Source organism: Homo sapiens, chromosome 10, assembly GCF_000001405.40.
Source record: "Homo sapiens chromosome 10, GRCh38.p14 Primary Assembly".
Classification (NCBI taxonomy): Eukaryota; Metazoa; Chordata; class Mammalia; order Primates; family Hominidae; genus Homo; species Homo sapiens.
The window spans coordinates 5,638,609-5,666,607 of NC_000010.11; the positions used below are offsets into that span (position 1 = coordinate 5,638,609).

Genomic DNA, 27,999 nt, shown 5'->3' on the forward strand with positions numbered 1-27,999 from the left:
GGGGAGGACCCAAAATCCCAGTCACCTGGTCCCGTGGACAGCGTCTGTCTCCCCCAAGAAAAGTCCACATAAGGGGGGTGCTGAAGTTGGCATCAGGAGACCTGGGGAAGAGATGGGAAAGTGTGGCTCCCTGGCAAGCACAGCGCTGCCAAACGACCTGGGACACAGCAAGACGAGAGCCACCCCTCTCCATCCACACAGGATGCGCCCATCTTGGTGTTTCTGCCCCATAAGAAAAGAGTCGTGTGAACACAGGGATGCACTTTATTCCGCCACTTTTATTGAGCAACAGCCGTGGGGACCTGATTCTGCGCTAAGTGCTCTACTGTGAGACATCACAGGTTGTCATTGCTAGAGGCAAGAATCTCTTACAAAGATGAAAGGGCAGAACCCAGTGCTTTTTTTAATGGTTGTTATTCCATGCAGAAACACTGACTGATCCAGAACTGGTAACTAAGGCGGTGATCAAACAGGAATGCTTTTCTTCTCAGTTTAGGACGAAGACCCGCCATGACAATGGCGGGAACGCTGGAGTAAAACCTCACGGCGGCCAGCATGAAGTTTTTCGCCAGATTTGTGGCCCCACCCCCAAGTACCCACGCGGAGAGGCCTCCAGTCATACAGCACAAAGGGCATCGCCTTGGGCAGCTCAGGCTCACTCTGTTCCACACTGTCTGCGGTGGGAGGCTCGGGCCGGCCTGGGTGCATCCAGTGAGTACCACGTTCCCTTTTCCCGGCACACTGTCTCCAGGACAGGCGTGACCTGTTCTCCAGAATGGGTAGAGATGGGGTTTCATCAAGTTGGCCAGGCTGGTTTCAAACTCCTGACCTCAGATGCCCCAGAAACCACTCATCCCTGAACTAATCATGCAAAGTCCTCCAGTTTAACTCCCTGTTGTGGGCGGGGTTCTTAAAATTTATGAAGGCAAAGACTCCTAGGCCGGCCCATGCAGTCTGAATACGCTACCGAATGCTCCACCTATGGCTTATAATGCAGAACGACCTGTTTCTATCACTGCAGGACGGGATTGCAAGATTTTCTTATCCTGCCTTGGCTGCAGAGTCCCATTCCCGTCCAACTCAAAGCACTGGGACAATGCTGGATGTGATAGATGGTCTTACTAATTTGATAGCTTCAAGGAGTTAGCAAACTGTAGGGTGGGTGAAGAATTCATTTGACAACCATAGAAACAGATGAAAAACAATTCCCACAGAGTCTCCAAACAGGCCTTTGCACTGAGAATGCCGAGCCACGAGAATATACACCTTGACACACCTTCACACTGCTGTCGGTTTGAATGGCTCATTACCAAAACCTTAGTGGTACCGCCTACGTGTCCTCTAAAAGGTTTTTATCCTACATATAAACTTTTTACAAGAGTTGGAGACCTAATACTGAAGACAAATTTCCTAAGAAACTCAGTGCTACTTGTGGGGAATACAAAGCCAGGGCCTTCCCCCACAAAGACCCATAGAAAGTCCCTGAGTGACAGATGCGCGCAGGCTTGGGGCTGGGGGATGCCTTGGAAAGTGCTCCAGGAAAAGCATCCACACAGCAGCCAGCAGAGCAGCAGTCCCAGGCCACATCCCAGGCCGACCTTCCGTGGGCCCAGCCATTCCCTATGAGCACCGAGGGCAGTCCTGGTGCCGACCCGGAGGTGGTGGCCTGCACCTGGGGCCTGTGCATCTGCGGCAGGCTGCCCCGGTGAGTGAGAATCAGCAACAATGCCCTCAGTCCCCAGCTCTGCCAGCCTCCTCTGTGCTCCCCACGCCGTCTGTCCTGAGAGTGCCTTTGAGGATGGTCCGTAAAAGAGGAAAACTGGATGGTTGGGCCCATGCCCATTGAGAGGGTAGGTTCTGTAGAACAGCGCAGGGCCACACCCACAACTGTGACCTGAGACGCAGGCCTTCCCAACACCCTGGAAACATTATCCAGGATCCAGGAGAGAAGCCTAAACAGGATCGCAGGAAGGGACTCGAAGGAGCGTTGTTCTATCTACAGCAATCACGCTGCTTCAGAGGAACAGGCAGAGCCCTCACCCGGGCAATGCTGGGCACAACGGGGGCAGCCACGGTCCGGACCCCACCTGCAATTCAGTTGTAGGAGAGGTAATCAATGAGCCGGGGCGGGATGTTTAACTTGGCAATCTTCTCCAGCCCTCGGACGCCAGTGGCCTTCCTCAAGTTCACCCTGCAGAGCTGTGACAGAGTCAGAGGTGTCTCTGAAAAAGGGAGCAAGGAAGGATGTGAGGTTAATTTCAGGAAGAAGCACAACACCTGCAATGGAACACAAACTCAGAGGGAATCGGAAACGCCTCCCTTTCCCCTGGAACCGGGATGTGTCCTGTAGGCCTTCTCTGGAAGGACAGCCAGGAACCCGAGGAAGGGAGCCCAGGAAATGAAGTTCGGGGCATGATGTCCACTGGGATTGCCTTTTGTGGGCTTTGGGAGTTTGTTTGGTTTTGAGGTTTTTTGTTTTTTGTTTTTTGAGACAGAAAAAAAGCGACAGAGGCAAGAATCTCTTACTCTGTCACCCAGGCTGGAGTGCAGCGGCACAATCTCAGCTCACTGCAACCTCCGCCTCCTGCATTCAAGCAATTCTCCTGCCTCAACCTCCCGAGTAGCTGGGATTACAGGCACCCACCACCATGCCCGCCTAATTTTTATATTTTTAGTAGAGATGGGGTTTCATCAAGTTGGCCAGGCTGGTTTCGAACTCCTGACCTCAGGTGATCTGCCCGCCTCAGCCTCCCAAAGTGCTGTGATTACAGGTGTGAGCCACTGCGCCTTTTCAAAACCATGGTTTTGGTTTTTTGAGACACGGCATTATATTTCAGCACCCAAACTTGTCATCAAACAACTAATCTGCAGCTAGGAGGCTCATCTGTCAAATGTCCAGCACAGGAGGCACAGGTCTGGTGCCCGGGCAGGTGTCGGCCACAGCTTCTGCTGCTCCACGCCACGGGCCACAGGGAACCCAGGGAGAGCTGGGGCAACAGCACAAACAGCCCCCGCAAAGTGCTTAAGGGTCTGTCCTAGCGCAGAGGACAGGAGCCAGGACTAACAGCCCAGCTCTCCGCGGAAGCCCACAGGGAGCCGGCACGTCAGGGGTCCAGGCTGAAGGCTGGAGGGGATGGGGTGCGCTCGGTGGGGTGTCTCACTTTCGTAGTACTCGAAGCACTTGGCGGGAGCGCTGCTGCTCCACGTGTAGTCAGACGGCTTCTTCCCGCGGTTGTCCCGGGCGTAGATGTTGCCGCCAAACTCGATAAGCATCTCGATGAGGTCAACATTCTTGACCTTGGCCGCGTGGTGAAGGGCAGTCTCATGAAGCTTTGCCGCATTCACGTTGGCCCCTGGAGGTCAAGAGTGCAGAAGAGATTTCACCAAGAAGAGAACTTGAAGTCAGGGGGACAATCAGGTCCGTTTCGTCACACAGCACGGTGGCAGAAGCAATCCCCACCCAGAAGACAAAATCAGGACAGACTCTACCGTAGCTTTCAAAAATGTTTTTCAACATCCAAAAGCAGGAACTACTTACTGTCCCCACTCATGAGAGATAAAGGTAGGCAGCAATAATAAAGAAATAACTAGAAATAGAACCGAAAAGAAGAAAAATAAAACGAAAAATGTCCTGAGTTAAACAACCGTTCTAATGCCCTATCAATCTGCCTTCAGGGGTCCTGAGATTTCCGGAAGCTCAAACCAGAGCCACTCAAGCACTCCCGCCTGGCCTCCAGCACAGACACACACTGCTTCTTCCTCTTGCGGGCCCAGGACGGAGGCTCCAGAAATACTGGTTGAATGAAAGAATAAATGTTCCTTAACAATGCATATTCTTTTACAAAAGGAAAACAGATAACGTACCCAAAACAGTAGGCAATTCAGAGAAGAGAGTAAGCTCTGCACTCCTCAACTTTCTCACGATAAGAGCAGACATTCATCAAGCTGATTAAAAGTAAAGGTAAAAAAAAATTTTTTTTTAAAAAAAAGAGCAGACATTCAGAAAGATGCAAGGAATTAGTAGCTAAATATGGCTGGTTTTGGGTTTTTTTTTTTGAGACAGAGTCTCACTCTGTTGCCCAGGCTGGAGTGCAGTGACATGATCTCGGCTCACTGCAACCTCCGCCTCCAGGGTTCAAGCGATTCTCCTGCCTCAGCCTCCCGAGTTGCTGGGATGACAGGTGTGCCACCATGCCCGGCTAATTTTTCTATTTTTTGTAGAGACGGGGTTTTGCCGTGTTGGCCAGGTTGGTCTCGAACTCCTGGCTACGGGCATGAGCCACCACACCTGGTCACATATGGCATTTTGCAACACACTAAAAAAAATTTTGATAAAAATATGATTTTTGTAACACATCATTCTTAGGGCACAGCCATCACTGATCCGATACAATGGAATCCCCCAGGGCTTCAGAATTCTTTTGAAAGAAAATGCCATTTTATTCGAAGTCTGTTCCTCAAGTAACAAAGGAGGTTATAAGAGAAAACAAATAAAAGAGAAGTGTTTTAAAGAAGCCAAGCAAATCGCCCAGCATCAGTAAAATAATTCGCCAAATGATAGATTCAAACCACAAACATAAAGTATTATCAAAAGTGGGATTTTAAAACAATCAGACACTAGCATGCCATCACTTCCCGACAGTCTCAGAGGGTCAAAAGAGGAGCTGAGAGGTGGAACGCTTTTACATTTTCTAGTTCCTCTAGCTCAAAAAGCATCGGAAAAATCCCGCTTTCTGCTTTAAAATATTTTAATCCCCTAAAAGCACATAAGAACCATGCTCATAACAGCATTCGTGGAGGGATCCTAAGAACGCCCCAGCCCTCCAAAGTGATGACATAATTTAAGAAAGTTCTTTCCACTTCCCGCAGCCAAAACTCAGAAGTCAGAACAGGAAAAGGATCTCTCAACTAGGAAAAATGCTAACTTATCTATGTCCTGAATTTGGCAGAAATGTACTACAAAAAAATAATATTCAAAAGCAATAGATTAAAGAAATATTTCCCCACAATTCAACCTCTCTTTCACATAAGGGGTTTTCCTCCAGTATAATGTTGCAATCATAACACGAAGTAAATTTTAACACTAAACATATGCTTGTAATGAAAAACAAATTGTACCATCCACAGAATCTAAAGTTCAAGTAGCTTTCTCTCATGTCATTAATTCTGGCAATATTCTTGCCAATTGGGAGAGAAAGAGATGGTCTCTATTTTAACAAAAGAAGAAAAACAGAGAAAGAGGCCCAAGGGAGGCACAGCTACTCTCTCACGATCAGGGAGAAAACCATGGCTGGAAAGAGCTCTAAAAATCACGCTCCCTGCCACGCTCCACAGACGAGGCCTTGGCCAGGGGCTCTTGCAGGGAGGCAGCCTTCCCAATGTACATCTTTTCAAAATGTGTGTTTGGCATCATTTGATTGGGTGGAAGGGAAGGAAGGTGAATAAGGAAGGAAATGAAATTGTGAATAAGGGATTGAAGGGAAACACCAGGCCAGGGGTGCAGGCAGCTACATGGATGGATCCTGAAAGTATAGCACTGAGTGAGCCAAGAAGAGAGTCAGAGATGAAACTCGATCAGCTATGTTCATTAAAAATATATGCTTGGGCCAGGTACAGGGCTCACGCCTGTAATCTCAGCACTTTGGGAATTCGAGGCGAGCGGATCTCTTGGGCCCAGGAAATCGAGACCAGCCTGCGCAACATAGTGAGACCCTAGCTCTACAAAAATTTAAAAATTACCCGGGGGGCGTGATGGCACACATCTGTGGTCCCACCTACTCTGGAGGCTGAGGTAGGAGGATCACTTGAGCCCGGGAGGTTGAGGCTGCAGCAAGCCACGATCGTACCACTGCACTCCAGCCTGGATGACAGAGTGAGGCCCATAGTGAGAAAGAGAACATAAACAGGTACTCGTTAGAGGAAAACAGGGCCAGACACGGTGGCTCATGCCTGTAATCCCAGCACTTTGAGAGCCTGAGGCGGGCAGATCACCTGAGGTCAGGAGTTCAAGACCAGCCTAGCCAATATGGTGAAACCTCGTCTCTACTAAAAATCCAAAAATTACCTGGGCGTGGTGGTGCACATCTATAATCCCAGCTACTCAGGAGGCTCAGGCATGAGAATCGCTTGAACCAGGGAGATGGAGGCTGCAGTGAGCAGAGATCACACCACTGCACTCCAGCCTGGGTGACAGAACGAGACTCCATCTCAGAAAAAAAAGAAAGAAAGAAGGGAACAGATACAGAGGAAAGAAGGAAGAGAGAAAGAGGGTAGGAGAGGGAAAGAAAGTAACTTTGTGTGAAGCAAGGATGGTAACATACCTTGAACTGAGAGGCAAGAGAAAGACTGAGGCAGAGACAGAGACACAGAGACAGAGAGAGACAAAGACAGGGAGCCAGGAAACAAGCAGGGAATTAAAAGCTCTGAACTTCGTGCTTCAGAGAAAAGGGGTCAACACAGGCTCATTACCAAAATCCTGCTTTCAACACAAAATAGGATTAAAGTGGATTCAGAGAACCCGTGGCCAGTGACGTGACGGGACCGCCTAAGACCTTAGCACGCCAAGACTGGCACAATCCTGGAACATAAACACAAATAGCTCAATAGGTGCTTGTTACCACAAGAGAAATTGAAAAAAAAAATTAAATTTAAAAAATTATAATTAAAAAATTTTTTAAAAATTAAACAACAATTTTAAAAAAATTTTTTAAATTGTGCCAGGGCCAGTGCTAAGAACAAAGGTGGAAGCAGGACCGTCCTCAGGGAGCCGCTTCCGAACACTCCTGGCAGAGTTCAACATTCACTGTCAGTGATCAGATTAAAAATTACTTCACCATCATAACCGGACTTTCACCCTCCCCAGCCCTCCTCCTTTGCAAATACAATCTGGTTCCTGGACTCGCCTCACTGCCTACAAAGAACAAGAACAACGGTCTCCACGTCCCCCGTGGGGTGCAACGTGGCTCTGCCTCACAGCTCAGCTCTCAAACCGCACATGAAAGCACCTGCACTCATGTGGGCCCCGACTGGTTCAATCCCTCTCCCCTCTCCACAGTAACTGGTTCAAATGATCCAGGCTTGAGCCGATCAGAATTTGGCAAAGTTTGGGCAAAGGGACTGGGGAGGGGTGCAGGAAAAGGGACTTTCCACTCTTCTGTTTTTCTAGAGACACGGTCCCTGGCTTTCCTTTGGTTTCCCGAGGGATCTGTGACCTGACCCCAAAAGATCAGAATCACTACTTTTTAAAAATCTGTTTGTGAGGACGTAGGGGATGCTGTTGTTTCTCTCTCCTCTGTATGTTTGAAATTTTCCGCAATGAAAAAATGGTTTCTAAGAAGAAGATGATGATCCATCTGCTCTCACAAGGGGTACTAGAGGAGACCACCCAAGAGTAGGATGGGAACCAGGAATCCCGCGTGGAGCTGATGGCTGGATGCTACCCACAGCATCGAGCCAACACCAACAGTCACTGTGCGGAGGCTTCCCCAAGAAAGCCACGTTCACCTCTAACTCCCCAGGGGCATGCAAACTCCCGGGGAGAGCTGTGGGAACCCCACTTTAGGGCGACAGTGGGCCTCACAGCTGCCCCTTCCTTTCCAGCCCCCACCCCCGACTGTGCTGCCACCTGGTAATGTGGTGGGGGCGGGAGCAGACCTGACTTCAGCTCCAGCGTGGGTCCCGCCTAGTCCAATCCCTCTCCCCTGACCACAGTAATTAGTTCTAATGACCCAGGCTTCAGCCCATCAGAATTTGGCAAAGTTTGGGCAAAGGGACTGGGGAGGGGTGTGTGAAAAGGGATTTTCCACTCCGCTGAAAGAGCCTCCAGAAGGCTTAAAACAGGAAACGTCTGGCGTGTAGGCCTGAAGCCACTGCAGCCCCGTGACCTTGCTCAGGGAGGCCGGAGGCTTAGGATGAAGCCAATACTGAGGAAAGCAGAATCGCAACGTTCAAAGAAACTGAGGCCTGGGTGACACCACGGAACCTCCGGTCCAGCCGCCCCTAATCCTGCTCTGCGTCTCAGCCCTGAAGTCACCTGAACTAGAAATGCCCGCCATTGTTTACCAGTGGAAGTGGCTTCCTGTTACTCGCAAAGGTGTCCAACTGACATGAAGTCCTAACTGATACAGAAAGGATGTTTGCTTTAAACACTAAGTTGATCCCTTTCCCTACAACCACACCAAACAGAACGAAGGTAAAAATGGAACTCGTGTGTACTGAGCTCATAAAGGCTTGATATGAACGCACTGCGCTGTGTTCATAGAAACGGATCCAGCTGCCAGAGGAACGGCTCGGCTGGAAACGCTTACACCTGCTTCCAATGGAGATACTTCTAAGACAGTGTATAAAAAAATTAAAAGTACCTCAACAACTATTCCTACACAAAACGAATCTTTTCCACTAAAAAGACTGAAAAGTGGCACATGAAAGTGAGTAAGATTCTCCAATAAAAAACTACACATAACTAAGCTCAAATGGCTGTCATCAGGGGGAATTCATGATCTTCCTGTTCCCAAACAGGTTTGTTCTTGTTGTTAAGAGAAGGGGACTTGCTATGTTTCCCAGGCTGGCTGAAACTCCCGGGCTCAAGCAATCCTCCCGCCTCAGCCTCCCAAAGTGCTGAGACTATGGCTGTGAGCCACAGTGCCCAGCCATCCTAAACAGTTTTGTTTTTATCCTACACTACACCCAGAATTTGGATAAGATGATGAAACTAAAATTTTCCCTCAACAAAACATTTAAGTTGGGTTGATAAAAACCCTGTGCTAACAGTCACTTTGGCTAAAACTTTTGGTATAGACAGGTCCTGAGCCTAATCCTCGATTGGTTGGTCTTTTTGGTTTTGATTTTTTTCCCTCTTTGGGAATCTCAATCCTGAGTCTTTTCGAACACCCGACAATGGCCTGGATTCCAAATGCTCCATATTCTCCTAAACGCTGCCAACTCCACTTCCCATTACATCCCCTTCTCTCTTGGATTCAGGCAGCAACCTCACCAGGCAGCTGTGGGGACAGTGGCCTGTGATCTCTAGAAATAATCATTGGCATCTGTTGAGTACCTACTAGGACACACCAGGCACCGGGGAAACATCCTCAGTTCTCCCAGCAACCTGCAGCATAGATTCTTCCAGTGTTACAGATATGTAAACTGAGGCCCGAGGTCTCAGCTGGCAAGTAAGAGAGCCAGCCTCCAACCCTGGTCCCTCTGACTCCTCTACCCAGCTCTCTGCTAGGCACAGTAAATACCTGTTCAGGTAAATGCTCGTGCAAGTAAACACCTGCTCAGGTGAACAGCCTTGCAAGTATATACCCATTCAGGCAAACTTCTCAGATAAATCCATAAATACACACTCTGCAGGTAAACACCCACTCAGGCAAACACCCACTCAGGCAAACACCCACTCAGGCAAACACCCACTCAGGTAAACACCTACTCAGGCAAACACCCACTCAGGTAAACACCCACGCAGGCAAACACCCACGCAGGCAAACACCCACTCAGGTAAACACCCACACAGGTAAACACCCACTCAGGTAAACAACCACGCGGGTAAACACTCACGGGGGTAAACACCCACTCAGGTAAACACCCACGCAGGCAAACACCCACTCAGGTAAACACCCACGCAGGCAAACACCCACTCAGGTAAACACCCACTCAGGTAAACACCCACGTGGGCAAACACCCACTCAGGTAAACACCCACTCAGGCAAACACCCCCTCGGGTAAACACCCACGTGGGCAACACCCACGGGGGTAAACACCCATGCAGGCAAACACCCACTCAGGCAAACACCCCCTTGGGTAAACACCCACTCAGGCAAACACCCACTCAGGTAAACACCCACGCAGGCAAACACCCACTCAGGTAAACACCCACTCGGGCAAACACCCACTCGGGTAAACACCCACGCGGGCAAACACCTACTCAGGTAAACACCCACTCAGGTAAACACCCACGCAGGCAAACACCCACGCAGGCAAACACCCCCTCGGGTAAACACCCACGGGGGTAAACAACCACGCAGGTAAACACCCACGCGGGCAAACACCCACTCGGGCAAACACCCCCTCGGGTAAACACCCACGCGGGCAAACACCCCCGGGGGTAAACACCCACGCAGGTAAACACCCACACGGGCAAACACCCACTCAGGCAAACACCCACTGGGGTAAACACCCACGCGGGCAAACACCCACTCCGGTAAACACCCACGCGGGCAAACATCCACTCCGGTAAACACCCACTCGGGTAAACACCCACTCGGGCAAACACCCACTTGGGCAAACACCCACGCAGGTAAACACCCGCTCGGGCAAACACCCACTCAGGTAAACACCCGCTCGGGCAAACACCCACTCACCTGCATTGAGCAGCACTTTGACACAGTCCAGATGCTCCCGGGCACAGGCAACGTGCAGAGGGGTCCCAAAATGGCAATCGTGCGCTTCCAGATTGGCCCCGACGTCAATAAGAAGCCTCACACATTCGGAACTCCCTTAAGATAAATGGAAAAGGGGGGGAATGTCCTTGAATACGGACACTGGAGACAACAAGCACACAGACGCGGCAGGGGCAGCAGCCTCCATCCTTGGTGCAGGGCAGGGAAGCCAGGCAGGCCTGCGTCCCAACCTAGGGAGGAGTTCATGACCCGCATGGCCCTCAGGAAGCCAGGACACGGCTCTGCGCCCCGCTGAGGACGGAGGGCTCAAGGCAGTGGGAGAAACGGGCCTGGCCGGCTTCTTGCTGTGAGAACAGAAGACATGGGGCACCACCTAGAATGGGTCAGGGAAAACTCCCCCGCTGCCCCCCTGCCCTGTGTCTACCTGCGGCTGTCAGCACTGAGCCCAGCCTCCCAGGAAACCCCCCAGACTTTCTTATGCAGGTCATCCTCCTGTGCACCACGGCAGCCGCCTCTCCTGCCTCTTTTTTTTTTTTAGACAAAGTCTCATTCTGTTGCCCAGGATGGAATGCAGTGGTGCGATCTCAGCTCACTACAACCGCCATCTCCCGGGTTAAAGCGATTCTCCCACCTCAGCCTCCCAAATAGCTGGAATTACAGGCATGCACCACCGTGCCCGACTAATTTTTTTGTATTTTTAGTAGAGACAGGGTTTCACCATGTGCCAGGCTGGTCTCAAACTCCTGACCTCAGGTGATCCGCCCACCTCAGCCTCCCAAAGTGCTGGGATTACCAAGGGCATGAGCCACAGCGCCCGGCCTCTCCTGCCTCTTAAGTGGCTCCTCTTCCTGGGTCTGTAATGCGGATTTGGAGCGGGGTTCCAGGCCCCCCATCCTCCCGCCCCTGCACATTCCGTCTAGGCTCCAACCTTTCCGTTCACTCAATTACCTCTTCACTGTTGGCAGCTCCCTAATTTTCCCCACCAGCCTCACACCCAGCCCCAGCCCCAGAGCCATGTGCTGGCCACCGGCCGGTGTCTCCCACTCTAGAGCCCTCTCCCTTTCCTGGGGTCCTTGCTCCTGACTCAAACCTGACTCATTTCTGACCTCTTGAGCCTCCCCTTCATACGAAATCCTATGGATTCCTTCCCCAACCCTACTAAATGAAACCATCCCACTCCACCAGCCTACTCTGAGCACTGGGCACCTTGATCTCAGCGATGGTCCCCAACTCATCCCTCTGCTTCCAGGAGACCCCAGCCACCACTGCACCTCCGTCTATCTGCACATGGAGGACCACTAAATGAACCTTCCCCAAATTCTGTTTTCCTGACCCTCGACATCTGCTCAGAAACCTTCAAGAGCTCCCTGGAGCTGTCCCATGGCCTGCAGACATGGAAAGACCTACGAGCAGGAATCAGGGGTGAGCCACATGCAGCCATGGCCCTGCCAGCACCGTGGAAGGGCACATACCCCATACCCTGCACCCCAGATGTGCATCCAAAGACAAAGGCCATGCTGGCCGGTCAAGATATAAGCCACAGTTTGCAACCTCTGCTCGAAAGAGTAGAATCTAAACTCCTTAGTCTGTCATTTAAACATCTTCCCACCAGCTGGTCTCACCCTAAATTCCAGTCCTCTCTGCTCCACTGGGAGCTTCTGATGCAGTAAGATAGGACAAGGAATGTTCCCCATGCTCGGGGTGCCCTTTTATCTTCCCAGCATCTGCAGTCTGCCTATTCTTGGGGGGCAGATGAGGTCCCACCTGCTCCCTGAGCCTGCAGGACCAGCACTGTTTTGAGAGCACCACGCACAGCCTCCTGGCCCAGGCTGTTGGGACACGTTTCTCTGTCGTCTCCCATCTCAATCAGGGGCCTGCAGAGCAAACTGTAGCAAAGCCCAAGTGAGCCTCTGCAGAGTCCCCCAGGCCCTGCTAACGTGGAGAGGCCCAGGGAACCCTGGCTTGGACACAGAATCCTACCCTAGAGTCACCCACCCCAGCCCTGGACGAAGACCTCAAGAAGGGAAAGCTTAGAATCTCTGCAGCTGAGCCACCAGGAGCCAGAAACAGACTCAGAACTCTCCTTCACCAGCCAAGGGCTCCCAATTCTGTCTACTCTGCTTCCTTCCCTAAGTCCCTTTAATCCCAGAAAGGAGGAAACTTCCAGAGCCCAGCTGGGCCAGCCCAGCCGTCTGCCAACTCACCGCTCATGCAGGCCTCGTGCAGGGGGGACGCTGTGTACAGGGGAGGGTTGACCTTGGCCCCGTAGGACAGCAAGAGCTTCACACACTCGATGCTGCCCGAGGCGCAGGCATCGCAGAGCGGGGTGCTGCCGTCGATGTTGCGAGCATCCACCTCACGGGAGGAAGAAACAAGTGTCAAAGGGCAGAGAAATGCCACGCAACCCACTTTCCCATCCTGCTGCAGGTTCATCTTTGCTAAGATGCTTCTTAGAAGCACCGGTTTGCTTTGCTATTATGTGCTAGGCAACGACACTGAAAGAGATAGCACGTGGCTGCGGAGCACCGACGGCCTCCTGAGTAGAGAAGTCATCTCGTTCAGGATTCTTTTCTCTCAGGGCAGGATAAGCTCAGCAGCCCCCTCGCCACCCCCGCCCCAAACACCTAGTAAGCACAGAGCAGGACAGGGGAACCCTAGGCTGCAAGCTGGGAAAGGCAGGCTTTAAAAATGAGTTTTAAAAACCCTAACCTCAGCTGGGCACAGTGGCTCACACCTGTAACCCCAGCACTTCGGAAGGCGAGGAGGGAGGGTCACTTGAGCTCAGGAGTTCAAGACCAGCCTGGGCAACATGGCGAAACCCTGTCTCTACAAAAAATACAAAAATTAGCTGGGTTTGGTGGCATGCACCTATAGTCCCAGCTACCCAGGAGGCTGAGGTGGAAGGATCACTTGAGTCAAGGAGGATGAGGTTGCAGTGAGCTATGATCACGCCACTGCATTCCAGCCTAGGCGACAGAGAAAGACCTTATCTCAAAAAAAAAAAAAAAAAAAAAAAACCACACACACACACACACACACACACACACACACACAAAACTCTAACCTCAATGGAAGGAATGCCTGAGACAGCTTACCACGCCTCCCCTAGTGAGAAAGTCAGAGGCCAGGAAAAAGGCAACTCCCCAAATTGGCAAATTTTATTTAGCATTTGTCCAAATTCAAATTCTATTTGGGTACACACTGAAATCGGTTCCATTCCAACCTTTTGGGAAGAGTAAACAGTACACTGTCTTCCCTTCTTCCTCACCCCTTGAACTCTGAGACCAGGTCCCTGTGTCACTTATACATTGGCCAGGGGTGTGCAGGGCCAGTGTTTGCCAGCTCGGGAGAGCTGGCTGCCAATGTGCCAGGAATTCTGCTGACCAGAAACCCCCGGTGGCTTAATACTAGCCAGGGTGGGAACATTTACACCAGGGAAAGCAGCAACACAGTTTTGTTTTTGTTCCTTTTTTCAGAGAGCTGGCTGGCCAGCATCCCACTGAGTTATCCTAAAGCCGGAAACCTGCTCTTTGGGCCCAAGCAGCAGCTCTGCACCCAGGCCTGGCTGCCCCTGAGAGAGCCTGTGTCTAGGCTGCGGCCAGCCTGCTGGCTCCTGCCCACCACAGGGCTGGCACTCCCATCATCAATTTGCTCAGGCTGCCCTTTCTTCCACCACCGTGACCTCCTAACAGCCAGGTCCACGAGCACTTCTCAGCCATGGGCTTCCTGGTACCTGTGTGCAGTGGACACAGTGCAGCCCCCATCCTCCCCTCTTTCCCAAGTTCTCCTGAGTCAACCTCCTCCATTCTGGCAGCTGCAGCCAGTCTGGGGGTCTGCCCTGAAGGGCCACTCACCTGGGCCCCAGCCGCCAGCAGCAGCTGCACACACCGCGCCTGGCCCTGCAGACTGGCTGCGTGCAGGGGCGTGATGGAGTCCACGGTGACCTGGTTCACGCAGGCGCCGCTCTCGATCAGCTGTTGCAGCTGCAGGCTCTCACCCCGCTGGGCTGCCTCGTGCACAGGGGTCCGCTCCACCCAGAAACCTGGAAAGGAAGGGGACCTCAGGCTAAGACCCTGCCACTTCCATCCAGGACAAATGAGCACACGTAAGACTCCAGGGTCCCTGATGCCACCAAGGCACCATCCGTGATCATGCAATTGTCCCAGCACTTCTACAAAGATCCCTGAGCCACCCCCACTGCCTGACAGCTGGAGTCCAAGCTCCTGGGCAAGGCCTACAAGGGGCTCCGTCCTGTGGACCCCGCTCACCTCCACAGTCCACCTCCCACCCCTGCCCCTGCATATTCTGCAGGCACAGGTGCTCACCACTCCCCTGCAGTTGCACATCCTTCTCTGCTGACATGCCCACCTTTGCCCCCCTGCCAATTGTCCACTCTGCAATTTCCTGGTGAAACGTTTACATCCTCCAGGTGGGCCCAGGTAAAACAACTTCTCTGGGAAACACTTCCCACAATGCTCACGCACACACGCTCAGACCCCTGCATTTACAGTGTCTCCTGCACTCGAGTGCCTTGAGAATCCCTGTTTTAATTATTCCACTTTAGTGGCTTCCTCAGGCTTGTCTATATACAAGGTCATGTCATCTGCAAACAAAGATCATTTAACTTCTTCCTTTCTAATGTGGATGCCATTTATTTATTTATTTATTTATTTATTTATTTATTTATTTATGAGACGGAGTCTCGCTCTGTCACCCAGGCTGGAGTGCAATGGTGTGATCTCAGCTCACTGCAACCTCCGCCTCCCGGGTTCAAGCGATTCTCCTGCCTCAGCCTCCCAAGTAGCTGGGATTACGGGCACACACCATCACACCCAGCTAATTTTTCTATTTTCAGTAGAGATGGGGTTTCACCATACTGGCCAGGATGGTCTCAAACTCCTGACCTCAGGTGATCCACCCACCTCAGCCTCTCAAAGTGCTGGGATTACAGGTGTGAGCCACCACGCCCAGCTCTTTTATTTCTTTTCCTTGTTGAATTGCTCTGGCTAGGACTTGCAGTGCAATGTGGAACAAAAGGGGTGAGAGCCAACATCCTTGTCTTGTTTCTAGTCTCGGGGGAGAGCATTTAGTCATTCACCTTTAAGGACGATGTTAACTGGGTTTTCTTCTTTTTTTCTTTTTTTTTTTTTTTGTCTCAGTCAATCATAGGGATCCTATTTCCCATACAGCATCCAACACAACTCTAGCTAAGCAGAGGTGAGGGAGAGTCTGCGAAGAGGCCTCCAAGCTTCCACACTCTGCTCACTCCCAAGAAGGAGCTCCAGGGGAAGGCTGTCTCCCTTCCTTCCCTGGATACTGCCTGGATGTGAACTTGGACCTGCTGAGCCATCTGGCTACCTGCCTGAAGACAGGACCTACAGGAATGGCAAAGCCGGGAAAGGACTGGAACCTGGAGGACGAGTCAAGGACCATCAGGTGCCTGGAGCCAAGACAATGGCCGGGCTTAGTCATGTTTCTTTATTGTCTAAACCAGGTGCAGACAAAAGCTCGCTAACTGGTACAGACCGTAAACTCCCCAGATGCAGAAACCACGCACGTGTTTTCTCAGCACCCATCTCAGACACGGAGGAGTCTTCCAGACACTTTAAAATGTCACAAATGACAACAGTGCTGGATGAAAGCTGATGACATATCCTTATTGTCAACTCTCCATCTTCGAGCAGACAAGATCACATCACACACCTCTTCTCAATCAGCAGTTTCCTCTTACTATTCTGACATGTCCCTGAAAAACCTTCCTATCACCTGGATCTTCCCCAGATCTTACTTTTACACAGTGCATCTGGGCTAGGTGCGGTGGCTCATGCCTGTAATCTCACCACTTTGAGAGGCTGAGGCGGGCGGATCACTTGAGGTCAGGAGTTCGAAACCAGCCTGGCCAACATGGTGAAACCCCCGTCTCTACTAAAAATATTTTTTTAAATTACCTGGGCGTGGTGGTGCATGCCTGTAATCCCCGCCACTTGGGAGGCTGAGGCAGGAGAATCACTTGAACCCGGGAGGCGGAGGTTGCAGCGAGCCCAGATCACGCCACTGCACCATAGCCTGGGCAACAAGAGTGAAACTCTGTCTTTAAAAAAAAAAAAAAAGTGTCTGCATCGAATTTCCTCTGCAGGTGGGTAGCCTCATCAGTTAGTGCTGACGACTCTGCTTTTAGAGATCCCCACATTGCCACCTTCCCCCACCTCTGCCTTGGGCACTGAGTACAGGGTTAAGAGTTCCCTGGAGCCACAACTGCTCAGAACTGCTTGGTGGAAACTCAGCTCAGCCTTTTATCAGCTTACCCAAAACACAACTTCCCTGAGTGTCAGTTTCTTTACCTGTAAGTTGTGATAACAATAGTTTCTCTTCATAGGTGGACTATGAACATTCAGTGAATTGAAATAGGTAGATGCACTTAAAGGGTGGGGCCTGGCACCGAATCAGTGCTCAATAAACACTGTCTGTTTGTAGTATTTTTGCCTCCAATTGTAGCTATCTGTCTTGTCCACAGCCAAAGAGCCCGGGTGACCCTATGTCAGTGGAAGTGGGGACTAGGGAGAACTGAACCACAAAGGAAGATTCGATCCCCACAAAATGTAAAAGTCAAGCTTGTGGAACTTTCTACTCACCGTCTCCAGGTGGCCCTCAGCCCCACCAGTAGTAATGAACAGTAACCCACTGCCCTCCTGAGGTTAGTGAGAAGTGGCTTAGTGTCACTTTAAAATCAATCCGCAGGGAGCAAAATCCTAAGGGTAGAAGGAGAGGCTGCCACTTGAAAAAGAAGAGGAAGGCAGGGTAAGGCCTAGGTCTTGCAGCAAAAAAAGAAAGTGCATCTCAGGAGGCCACCTGAGCCGGGAAGGCGCGTTCCCGACGTGCCTCCATTCACAAGACGTCCAGGTGGATTTAGCGTCTTCCGCTGCCACACGCAAAGATGACTAAGATGCAGCAATAGGCAGCTCACAGTCAGGGACCAGGGAATAAATGCGCAGATAATTCACAACATGACAACTGCGATCATGTCTGGTGACAGGGACTCAGAATTAAGAGCCCCGGTGCCCAGGGATGGCCAGGGAAGGTCACAGAGGCCGCAGAGCTGCAGCCGGGTCTATCTCAGGCACCGCTTATTCACCTCTGTACCCCAGAACCTGGCACTGTCCAAGAAGATGCTGGTATCCACGTGGTTGCTCAGTGAGTGAGTGGATGAGTAAATGAATGGAAGGAGTTACTAAAACCAATTATAAAGTCTGACTGGTCAAGGTGGTTCAAGCCTGTAATCCCAGCACTTTGGGAGGCCAAGGCGGGTGGATCACGAGGTCAGGAGTTTGAGACCAGCCTGGCCAACATGGTGAAACCCCATCTCTACTAAAAATACAAAGAATTAGCCGGCCGTGGTGGCACGTGCCTGTAATCCCAGCTACTCAGGAGGCGGAGGCAGCAGAATCGCTTGAACCCAGGAGGCGGAGATTGCAGTGAGCTGAGATCGCACCATTGCATTCCAGCCTGGGCAACCGAGCAAGACTCCGTCTCAAGAAAAAAAAAAAAAGTCTGTAGCAGTGAAACAGCAAAAGAACTAACATTTTTGTTTGAGGGGCCTTTATCCATTCTTACACAGAGGCTAGGATAATTTTAGAGCATTAAGATAATATGCAAAAAGAGCAAACGTGTAGCTTTGAAATTAACTCTGGGATTAAAAGGAAAGCATGTAAACAACTAGCTATGTTTTGTTAAAGATTTATAGGAGCACTGCGACCTGATCAAGGACAAAGATGTTCCCAACCTCCTAGGACCTTCACTGGTGCCCAGATGTCACTGGTCCTTGGTTACCTCTTGATCCCAACAGCCTCTTTTTCCCACTGCCCTTAACATAATTAAGAACCCGAAACCTGTACTGACTTAGACGGCACTTTAGACACTTATCTACCATCTTCCTGGTTTGCTGGCTCTCCAGATAAACCTGCCACCAACTCTTGTCTCTCGTATTTGGCTTTTGAGCAGTAAGCAGCCAAATCTGGGTTCAGTTACAACTAGACATAAAATTTTTAAAAGAAAATCTAATTTTATTTCTCTGTATCACCAGTCTACAAAGGAAATGCAACTTATTTCTAGTGAATCACATCAGCTGCTGTAGTCTTACTGCAGCAATTCAGGGCAAAAATTAGCAGCAGACATGATAAGAAAAAAAGAAAAAAGAAACTTCCGTGCATCAAAGGGCACAATCAGAGTGAAATGGCAACCCACAGAATGGGAGAAAATATTTGCAAGTCATATATCTGAAAAGGGGTTAGTCCAGAATATATAAAGAACTCCTGCAACTCAAAAACAAAAAAAACAAATAACCAGGTTTAAAAATGGGCAAACGAGTTGAACAGACATTTCTCTAAACAGGATGCACACAGCCACAAACATAAAAAAAAAAGGTATTCAAGGTCACTAATCATTAAAGAAATGCAAATCAAAACCACAATAAGATACTACCTCACACCTGTTAGGATTATCAAAAAAAACCAAATACGTGTTGGCGAGAATGTGGAGAAAGTGGTACTCTTGTGCACTGATGATGGGAATATAAAATGGTCTAGCCACTGTGGAAGACTGTATGGCAGTTCCTAAAAAATGAAACATAGGATATCATATGATCCAGCAACTCCACTGCTGGGCATATCTCCAGAAGAATTGAAAGCAGGGTCTTGAGGAGAGATTCATTTGTACACCCACATTCATAGCAGCATTATTCTCAACAATCCAAGTGTCCAGTGGAATATTATTCAGCGTTGGGAATGAAGGAAATCCTGTCCCATGCTACAACATGGATGAACCTTGAGGACATTATGCTGAGTCAAACAAGCCATTTCTAGGCCAGGCACGCTGGCTCACACCTGTAATCCCAGCACTTTGGGAGGCCGAGGCGGGCAGATCACTTGAGGTTAGGAGTTCGAGACCAGCATGGCCAACATGGGGAAACCCTGTCTCTACTAAGAATACAAAAATTAGCCAGGCATGGTGGCTGTAATCCATGGTGCTTCAGTAGTGCCAGCTACTCAGAGGCTGAGGCACGAGAATCGCATGAACCCAGGAGACAGAGGTTGCAGTGAACTGAGATCACACCACTGCACTCCAGCCTGGGTGACAGAGAGAGACTCTGTCTCAAAAATAAATAAATAAATACGCTATTTCTGGCCAGGTGCAGTGGCTCAAAACTCTAATCCCAGCACTTTGGGAGGCCGAGGCAGGCAATATGGTGAAACCCCATCTCTACTAAAATTACAAAAATTAGCTGGGCATGGTGGCCCATGCCTATAATCCCAGCTACTATGGAGGCTAAGGCAGGAGAATCACTTGAACCCAGGAGGTGGAGGTTGCAGTGAGCCAAAATCGTGCCATTGCACTACGGCCTGGGTGACTTTGTCTGAAAAAAAAAAAAAAAACAAAACCAAATAAGCCATTTCTGAAAAGCCAAATACTGTATGATTCCACTTATGTGAGGTCCCTCGAGTAGTCAAATTCATGGAGATGGAAAGTAGAAAGGTAGTTGCCAGGGGCTTGGGGGAGGAGAAATGGGGAGTTAGTGTTTCATGGGGACAGAATTTCAGTTTTACAGGATGAAAAAGTTCTAGAGATCTGTTACACAAAAATGTAAATGTACTCAACCCTACTGAAGTGGACACTTGAAATGGCTAAGGTGGTAACTTTTGTGTTCTGTGCTCTCTACTACAATTAAAAATAGAAAAAAAAAATTTTTAAGTAACCAGAAGCTGGAGGACCTAGAGCATGGGGGGACTGTCACCCGCAGGCTGTCCTCATAGGAGATTTACAGTGGGGAAGGGAGGGATAGAAGGCTAGAGGACAGCAGGTGCCTGGGGTGCACCTCGTCACCTTTCCTGACACCCCCAAACCACCGATGGCCCTTCCAGGGGGCGAAGAGACCCACTCTCTTCATAAACATCAGCCCCCAGCACCCACCACCACAGAGCAATGTGACTCAGCCCTGCAATGGCAGGGTCAGTGTCCCAGGTGAAAAGAATCGGGAAGGACAGCTTATGGTCACGGACCTTAAATGGATGAGGAGTGAGCACAGGAAATGCTGTCTGTTAGTGAATGGACTGGCCAGGATGGATTGCAGGCTGCTTCCAGCCCCTGTGCCAGGCTCCCTGTGGTGGCAAGACGCCCCCCCTCCCCAATCCCTGCACCCTCTCCCTTGGCGGAGCACCGCCTTGGAAACCCGAGACTCCATGCCGTGCTGGCGAGTTCCCTCCGGGACTCACGTTCTGCCCCTAAATCCCACCCACTGCTGCCACATAATAGGTTGCCCCCTCCCTAATGCAGATGATTGACAAGCCAGTCTGACAGGGCCTGCTCACAAGGGCTCCCTCCTCCAGGGTGGAACCCAGGCAAGGAACAAGGTCCACGACCATGCAGTCACAGGCCCTGTCCCCAGGCTCCCCGTCATGCACACAGCCGTGTCCAGTGACACCAAACTCTACCGACTCACACAGAGTCCAGTGGCTGCAAGTCCCATGCTTTGCGTATGCTGTTCCTTCCCCTGCCTGGAAAGCTCTTCTCAGCCCCATTCCCCACCTTGCTTCCGGCTGAAATTCCTCGACTGAGGGGACCCCTGCTCCTTCAGGAAGCCTCCCGAGCATGCAGCCCACCCCCCCACGCCATCTCCACACTATTGCCCCACCACCAGCTGATCAGCATTCTCCCTTCCCTGGGCCTTCCCTAAGGCCATCCCCTGTCACCTTGGGAATAGTACCACAGCTAGCCAGCCTCCCCACACAGGCTGCTCGTGCAGGTATCTGAATGAATAAGCACTCCCCAGACGCATCTTCCCCTGCCAGACTGAACTTGGACCCCTGCCGCTAGGTTCTGTCCCCTGCTCCACTTTCCAGCCCAGGACAGTGGCCTGAGACCTAACATGATGCTTGCACACTCTGGCCAAGCGGGGGCTCGTGCATCCATTAAATGAAGAACTTGTGTTGCAACAAGAGCCAAGGCTGCAGCCCTGGTGACTCATGACCCAGTCCTGATGGCTGGATTCTACCCACTTCCTCCTCTGCTTCAGGTCAGGGTCACGGTGTTACACACTATGGCTCCTCCTGTTTACCTGCCGCCTGCAGGCCTGAGCTCATGAATAGCCAAGCAAAAGCCTTTGCCCTGAAAACTAGAGTTTCACAGATGTCACCTATGTATCTACTGCAGACTACGGCAGACGTCACCTTGAGAAGGAATGACACGTGCTTCAGAACGTTCTCTCCACTCTTCCACCCACGATACGACCTTACTGGCTAGGACCGTGTGCCAGGTGTGGACCTTTCTGGACCCCAGCTCCTCTTCCCCTCTCTTGCCCCTTTGCTGGGGCCCCGACACCCTCCCATCTAAGGCTGTGCCCTGCCCCAGGACTGACCTGTCCTTTGAGATTAGGAAGCCCTGGCTGAACAGGTCAAGTGGCTCAGGGTCAGCCTACCCTCAGGGAGCAGACTCTACAGGGGCAAGCTGCAGGAACCACCCTGCTCGTGAGTTCAAAGCTCGTCTCACAGCTTACCCTCTCCAAACCTCGGCCTCCTCTCTCCTCAAATGGGTGCTGTGAAGACTGAAGAAAATCGTGCCTGGCCACCTGTAAATGCTGTGAGTAACAGGCACTGCCATGGCTCCAGGATCATTGCTGTCATTATTACCCTACCAGTCCTGTGGGGAGGGCAGGTGCGGGTTCTACCATCTCATCTTTGTTCCATAGCAAGCCCCCCAATCTTGCATTCCAGCTCCAGTAACTCAATCCTTACCTAAGTCGGGTGACTGATTGAGTCTCTGCCCAATTTTTCTGCTCAGTTCCCGGGCCCTCTGAGACCAGAGCCCCTCCATCGCTCCCTGCCTTGCAAGCCACCCAGCAGTGTGCCGGGCCATCTCGCCAGCTGGCTGCTGCACAGCCAGGTTCTGCTGGCCGGAGACCACCAGCAGCTTGAAAGCAGCCAGGATGTGAGTATTTAGACCAGGGAAAGCAGCAAAGCAGACTTTTATTTTTGTTTCTTTTTCTTTATTTTCCCCCTAGGCAGCTGGTTTGCCAGTATCTCCTCAGTCATCCCAGAGCCAGAGCCCCACTCGTTGGGCCCAAGTGGCAGCTCTGTGCCCAGGCCCGGCCACCCCCTAGAGAGCCTGTGTCTAGGAGGCAGCTGGCCTGCTGGCCCCTGCACACTGCAGAGCTGGGCACCTCCAGAGCCCATCCTCCACACTGCCCTGCCTGCACCCACACTGGCGGGCCTCACTTGACCCACACAGGGACTGCAACCATAAAAGCAGCAGAGCCACTTGCCCCCAACCCCGCCCCGCCGAGCCTGGGGCCTCTCCAGGGTCAGGGCCCACTCCAACAAAGAGCATTCTCAAATGCCACCAGGGACACCTTCCAGACAAAGCTGATCCAGTAGCATGCTGGCTTTGAATCCAGGTCAAATACCCAAGATGCACCTTTTTTCCTATTTTGTTTTCTTATTGTTTATTTATTTATTTTTGAAACAGGGTCTCGCTGTCACCCAAGCTGAAGTGCAGTGGTGTGATCAGGGCTCACTGCAGCCTCAACCTCCTAGGTTCAAGTGATCCTCCCACCTCAGCCTCCCAAGTAGCTGGGACTACAGGCCCATGCACCACCACCACACTGGATAATTTTTGTATTTTCTGTAGAGACAGGGTTTCACCATGTTGCCCAGGCTGGTCTCAAACTCCTGGGTTCAAGTGATCCTCCCGCCTTGGCCTCCCTAAGTGCTGGGATTACAGGCATGAGCCCCAGGCCCAGCCCAGAATGCACTCTTAAATGTTGCTGGAGTCAGAAATTTTGTTCCGAGTAAATCACCAAGGGGAGTCTGGGGTCCTGGCTGCAGAAATGTCATTTCTGCGTCAAAAACAACCAGCAGCCTCTGTAAGAAGCCCTCCCTGCAAAACCCCAGTAAGCATTCTTGAAATGGTGAGGGTGGGCCCTCCACCCTGACCCACCCATAAAGCCGGGCTGGGGCGGGCGAGCACACACTTGGGGAACCCACCCTGGAAGAACCAAGGCAGGCACCGGAAGCCCCCAGGGAGGGTTTTCTGATGCTGCTCTCAATGGGCTCATCCTCAGCTCTCAGGGAAAAGTCAAGAGTCCTGAGTGACATAGCCCCCCAGGGTCCCAGAAAGCTAAGGATTCATGAACACGCGCTGACTGTCAGAACTGAAAAGGCCTTAGAAATGCTGGACGATGGGCTGGGCGCAGTGGCTCACGCCTGTAATCCCAGCACTTCGGGAGGCTGAGGCAGGCGGATCACCTGAGGTCAAGAGTTCGAGATCAGCCTGGCCAACATGGCAAAACCCCATCTCTACTAAAAATACAAAAATTAGCTGGGTGTGGTGGCATGCACCTGTAATCCCAGTAATAATCCCAGCTACTCAGGAGGCTGAGACAGGAGAATCGCTTGAACCAAGCAGTGGAGACTGCAGTGAGCTGAGATCGTGCCACTGCACTCCAGCCTGGGCGACAGACTGAGACTCTGTCGAGAAGGGGGGGGGAGGGGAGGGGAGGGGAGGGGAGGGGAGAAGAGAAGAGAAGAGAAGAGAAGAGAAGAGAAGAGAAGAGAAGAGAAGAGAAGAGAAGAGAAGAGAAGAGATGAGATCCTGGATGATTAACACTCCCAGAAAAAGCCAAATGTAGCATCCATTCATCTCTGCCTGCTGTCCAAACCACACACAAGTGACGGTAAGGGAATAAAATGGGGGCTAAATCCACAAAGACAAAGAGACCACAGAGGAAAAGATAAATGAAGGATCTCATGGTGACAACTAAAGACAGTGTACGTGACAACCCCAGCACAAAGAGGGTGCCTAACGCATGGCACTTAACCACTATCACCAAATTTTAATAGCGCAGCTCAAATTTCAGTTTTAGTGTCCTTGAAACCCAAGGAAAAAAAATATGGATCTTTATTTTTCTATGTAGAAACTCCCACTTACAAGTCTGGGCTCAGTGTTTTGTTGCTACAGTGATATTTTTCAACCATGTCTTTTTAAATGTTTTCATTATGAATCCCCAAAATATAGTTTGTCGGTAAACTTGAGGTCAAACAGCAGACTGATTTTAAGATGTGTTCAATGAAGCAAAAATGCCAGTATTTGCCTTCTTAGAGGGACAAAATGGTCAAAACTCAGTAAGAGTGGAGAAAAGAAAGGGAAAGAATAAATGAAAGCAGAAGACAAGGAGAAAAGAGGTGAAAATAGGTGGGCTAAGGAGTAAAGGAACTGGGAGAAAGGACCGAAGGTGTCAGGAGAGCTTGGTGAATAACAGGCATTTCCTTCCACCTGCAGGACGCTAAAACCACACTGGATTCGCTGCATTATCCTTCAATGTCTCCTCCCCTGACTCCCTCATCACTCACCCAATTATCTGCTACCCCGACTCCTCCCTTGCCCCTGGTCCACCCCAAAGGCTATGGCCCAGGGAGCATGGGGAGGGTCCCCCAGTCCCACCCTCAAGGCACTGTGGGAGCTCAGGCCCTGACTCAGGACCCCTGAGCTCTGATCCTGCATCCTCCCTGTCTCAGTTAAGGGACCTGAGGGACGCTTTTCACCCTAAATCACCTAAGCCTCAGTTTCCTTAGGACAGCAGGCAATGTCTCCCAGGGCTGCCGAGTCGAGGAGGAGGATAGAGGTACTGTTTTGCCCATAAACATGCTTCCTAAGCCTTTGTAACTTGCTAATTTCCTCTGATACTTCCATTGGCCCTAAATAGGCTTTTCTGGTGTGTCAACAGGCCCTCTTTGAATTCCTATTTTAGGATAAAATAGCCGCCCACTCCAAGTAACTCTCTACCCTTTAGAAATGCCCTGGACTGCTACCCTAGTGGATTCTCCCTCTCCCCGCTCTGACACTGAAATCAAGAGCGATAGAGCTGTGTTTCTGATTAAACACGGAGGATCTTCTCTGCCCCTCAGCAAAGATCTCACTCAACTGAGAGTACCTGGATGGGGAGACATAAATCCATATAAACAAGTAGAAAACAAACAGGCTGGGGAGTGATTTCCAGACCATCGGGGGAGCTGGAGAGCAGGCTGGTGCAGTGGCTAACCAGGATACAGAAGGCGGGCTTGGCACCCGGGGTTGGGACCAGCAAAGAGCAGGGAATCTGAACTACCCCTGGGAGGGCACTGAACGCAAAGGGATGCGCAAATCCCCATAAACAACAGGAAGACACCCCTGCCCCACCCCCACCCCGGCTTCCCAGAGCAGCAGCAGGCAGAGCTGGAAGACCCAAGGCTGCAGGGCACACGTCTCCAAACACTGAACCAGGAGAGAGAGAACACAGGACTCATTGCTTACCTGAGGGGCCTAAGAAGACTGTCTGGGGATAAATTAGGGATTAGGCATGGAGAACACCGAACCCACAGGTAAACAAAAAGAACACCCGCCATGTCCAAGAAAAGCAAGACATTACACAAAAAGAGAAACATAGTCCCCACATAGCAAGTGGCTCAGCTGCAATATTCACAGTCACAATAATGTCAACACTGAAATCTGATTTAAACAAAAACAATTCTACTGGAGGACCCTGGGGGGAACGTACGGGGGAGTGGGGGAGCAGCCAGTAGGTTAGAGGTTCATCTACCACAGAAGGACGTCCATAGGGAATGCAGAATTTCTTTATTTCTTTATTTATTTATTTTATTTATTTTTGAGACGGAGTCTCACTCTGTCGCCCAGGCTGGAGTGCAATGGCATGATCTCAGCTCACTACAACCTCTGCCTATCAGGTTCAAGTGATTCTCCTGCCTCAGCCTCCCCAGTAGCTGAGATTACAGGTGCCCGCCACTATGCTTGGCTAATTTTTGTATTTTTATTTATTTATTTTGAGACAGAGTTTTGCTCTTGTCACCCAGGCTGGAGTGCAATGGCCCAATCTCGGCTTACTGCAACCTCTGCCTTCCAGGTTCGAGTGATTCTTCTGCCTCAGTCTCCCAAGTAGCTGGAACTACAGGCACCCGCCACAATGCTCGGCTAATTTTTGTATTTTTAGTAGAGACGGGGTTTCGCCATGTTGGCCAGGCTGGTCTCGAACTCCTGACTTCAAGTGATCCACCTGCCTCGGCCTCCCAAAGTGCTGGCATTACAGGCATGAGAGACTGCGCAACAGCCCAAAACCTAAATGTTTTGGTCGCGGTACACCACACATCCAGAATTTGAGGTCAGAATGTTAAAATTGTCTAAAGCTCCTACGGTTCGCCTCTGGTGCTGCTGGAATGGCAGTATTGTTTTGGATCCAACACATTCAGCTTATTCATTACACTGGGAATAAAAAACATCAGCAGAACTTATTTGGGGAGAAATATATTAAATAAAAAATGACAATGTCAAAAATACCAGTGAACCTCAAAAGTTGCGGATTCATTAGTTTAAAATGTGCCTTTCTTCTACAGATGCATTCCATAACAAACGATGCAGAAGACATGCTCAGAAGTGATGCCATGAACAGAAATATTAAAATATGTGTTTAAATAAGCTTCTGCCGTTAGCTATTCACTGCTTACTCAATTAAGCTAATCAAATGCAGATCACAGTGTCAGGGTCAAAGTCTTGTGCTTGCCTGGACTGGAATGCCAAGTAAAAACACATGCTTATTAGATACCTTTGATCATGTCAAAGGTGGTTATTTTGCAAAGTCAATTAAAATATCTTTGCCTTGCTATGACTGCAACTTCCTCTTCAGCTAAATTTACCCTTAAGACTTTTCCCTCTTAGGTGCACTACTGTTTTTACCAGGATGAATATGCTTTAGATTTTTTTTTTCTTTTTAGGCTTTCATAGTGCTTCCGTCGCTCATTTCAGTGACCATATTATTGCTTCATAGGCAGCAAAAAAATTTGCTTCCCCAAAGAGTGTCCTTCCCTCAAATCCATTTCATTCTTGGGCTGCTCGGATTTTGGTAAAGTAGGCTGCGAACTGGGATGGCACTTTTCGGAGTGTGCCGGGGTGCCCCAAGGCCACCTTCACTGGAGCGGAGTCGGGGTCACGCGGACGCCTCTGCAGGATGCTCGGACACTGCGCCACGGCCTCACCCGCGCCAGTGGAGGGGGGTTTAGCTCTTACCGTGGGCTCGCGCCTGGCTTCCCCGAGAGGGAGCACCGTGGGCGTTTCCCAGGCTCTCCCCCGCCACTGGGCAACGGCCCCGCACGCGTCCCGCACCTTCCCCAGGGCGCGCGGCGCTCGGTGGGTTTGCGGTTGCGAAACCCCACACCTGGCGAGCCGCACGGACTGCAACCCCGCAGTGCGCTGGCCTGGGACAAGGCACCAGACATGAGAGCCCGTCTGGGATGCGCGGCACCACTGGGACCCTGCTTTCACCGCGGCCCACCCCGCCAAACGCCCCCGCCCACGGAGCCAGCGCGGGGCGCGCCACCACCTCCCCGGCGCAGGCCATCGGATACGCGGCCGGCCTCAGGAGCCGGCGCCGCTGCCTCGCTCTGACCTCCGCGGCGCCCGCACGTACCCACGTCGCCCAGGAAGCAGCCGTCCGCCGCCCGGGGCTCCATGCGGCTCACCGGCGGCCGCGCGGCGACTCTGGGCGCCGGGACCTGGGCCGGGCCGC

At 51.1% G+C, this 27,999-nt stretch overlaps 1 protein-coding gene across 3 annotated transcripts, besides 3 other annotated features; it reads right to left on the bottom strand.

Annotated features, from left to right (window-relative positions):
* Nucleotides 1–258: 258 nt before the first annotated feature.
* Nucleotides 259–27,987, bottom strand: ASB13 (ankyrin repeat and SOCS box containing 13). 3 transcript variants are annotated; one of them, NR_037164.2, is made up of 7 exons: nt 27,901–27,987; nt 14,255–14,442; nt 12,605–12,755; nt 10,362–10,496; nt 3,865–3,945; nt 3,162–3,353; nt 259–2,222 (listed from the first exon to the last, which is right to left on the bottom strand). NR_037164.2 is itself a non-coding variant. In NM_024701.4 (6 exons), exons 1-6 carry the CDS (start codon nt 27,941–27,943, stop codon nt 2,095–2,097), a joined length of 837 nt encoding a protein of 278 aa, NP_078977.2. In that variant the 5' UTR covers nt 27,944–27,987; the 3' UTR covers nt 259–2,094. The 3 variants fall into 3 exon arrangements, 1 of the variants encoding a protein (NP_078977.2); NM_024701.4 differs by lacking the exon at nt 3,865–3,945; NR_024581.2 differs by lacking the exons at nt 3,865–3,945; nt 12,605–12,755.
* Nucleotides 22,400–23,136: an enhancer, noted in NCBI's record as "H3K27ac-H3K4me1 hESC enhancer chr10:5702971-5703707 (GRCh37/hg19 assembly coordinates)". NCBI's record gives its function as "activates a minimal SCP1, AML or CMV promoter by ChIP-STARR-seq in primed H9 embryonic stem cells {active_cell/tissue: H9 hESC(primed)}" and the evidence as "EXISTENCE:reporter gene assay evidence [ECO:0000049][PMID:30033119]".
* Nucleotides 27,571–27,620: a silencer, noted in NCBI's record as "silent region_2081". NCBI's record gives its function as "represses an Ori minimal core promoter by ATAC-STARR-seq in GM12878 lymphoblastoid cells {active_cell/tissue: GM12878}" and the evidence as "EXISTENCE:reporter gene assay evidence [ECO:0000049][PMID:35858748]".
* Nucleotides 27,921–27,990: a silencer, noted in NCBI's record as "silent region_2082". NCBI's record gives its function as "represses an Ori minimal core promoter by ATAC-STARR-seq in GM12878 lymphoblastoid cells {active_cell/tissue: GM12878}" and the evidence as "EXISTENCE:reporter gene assay evidence [ECO:0000049][PMID:35858748]".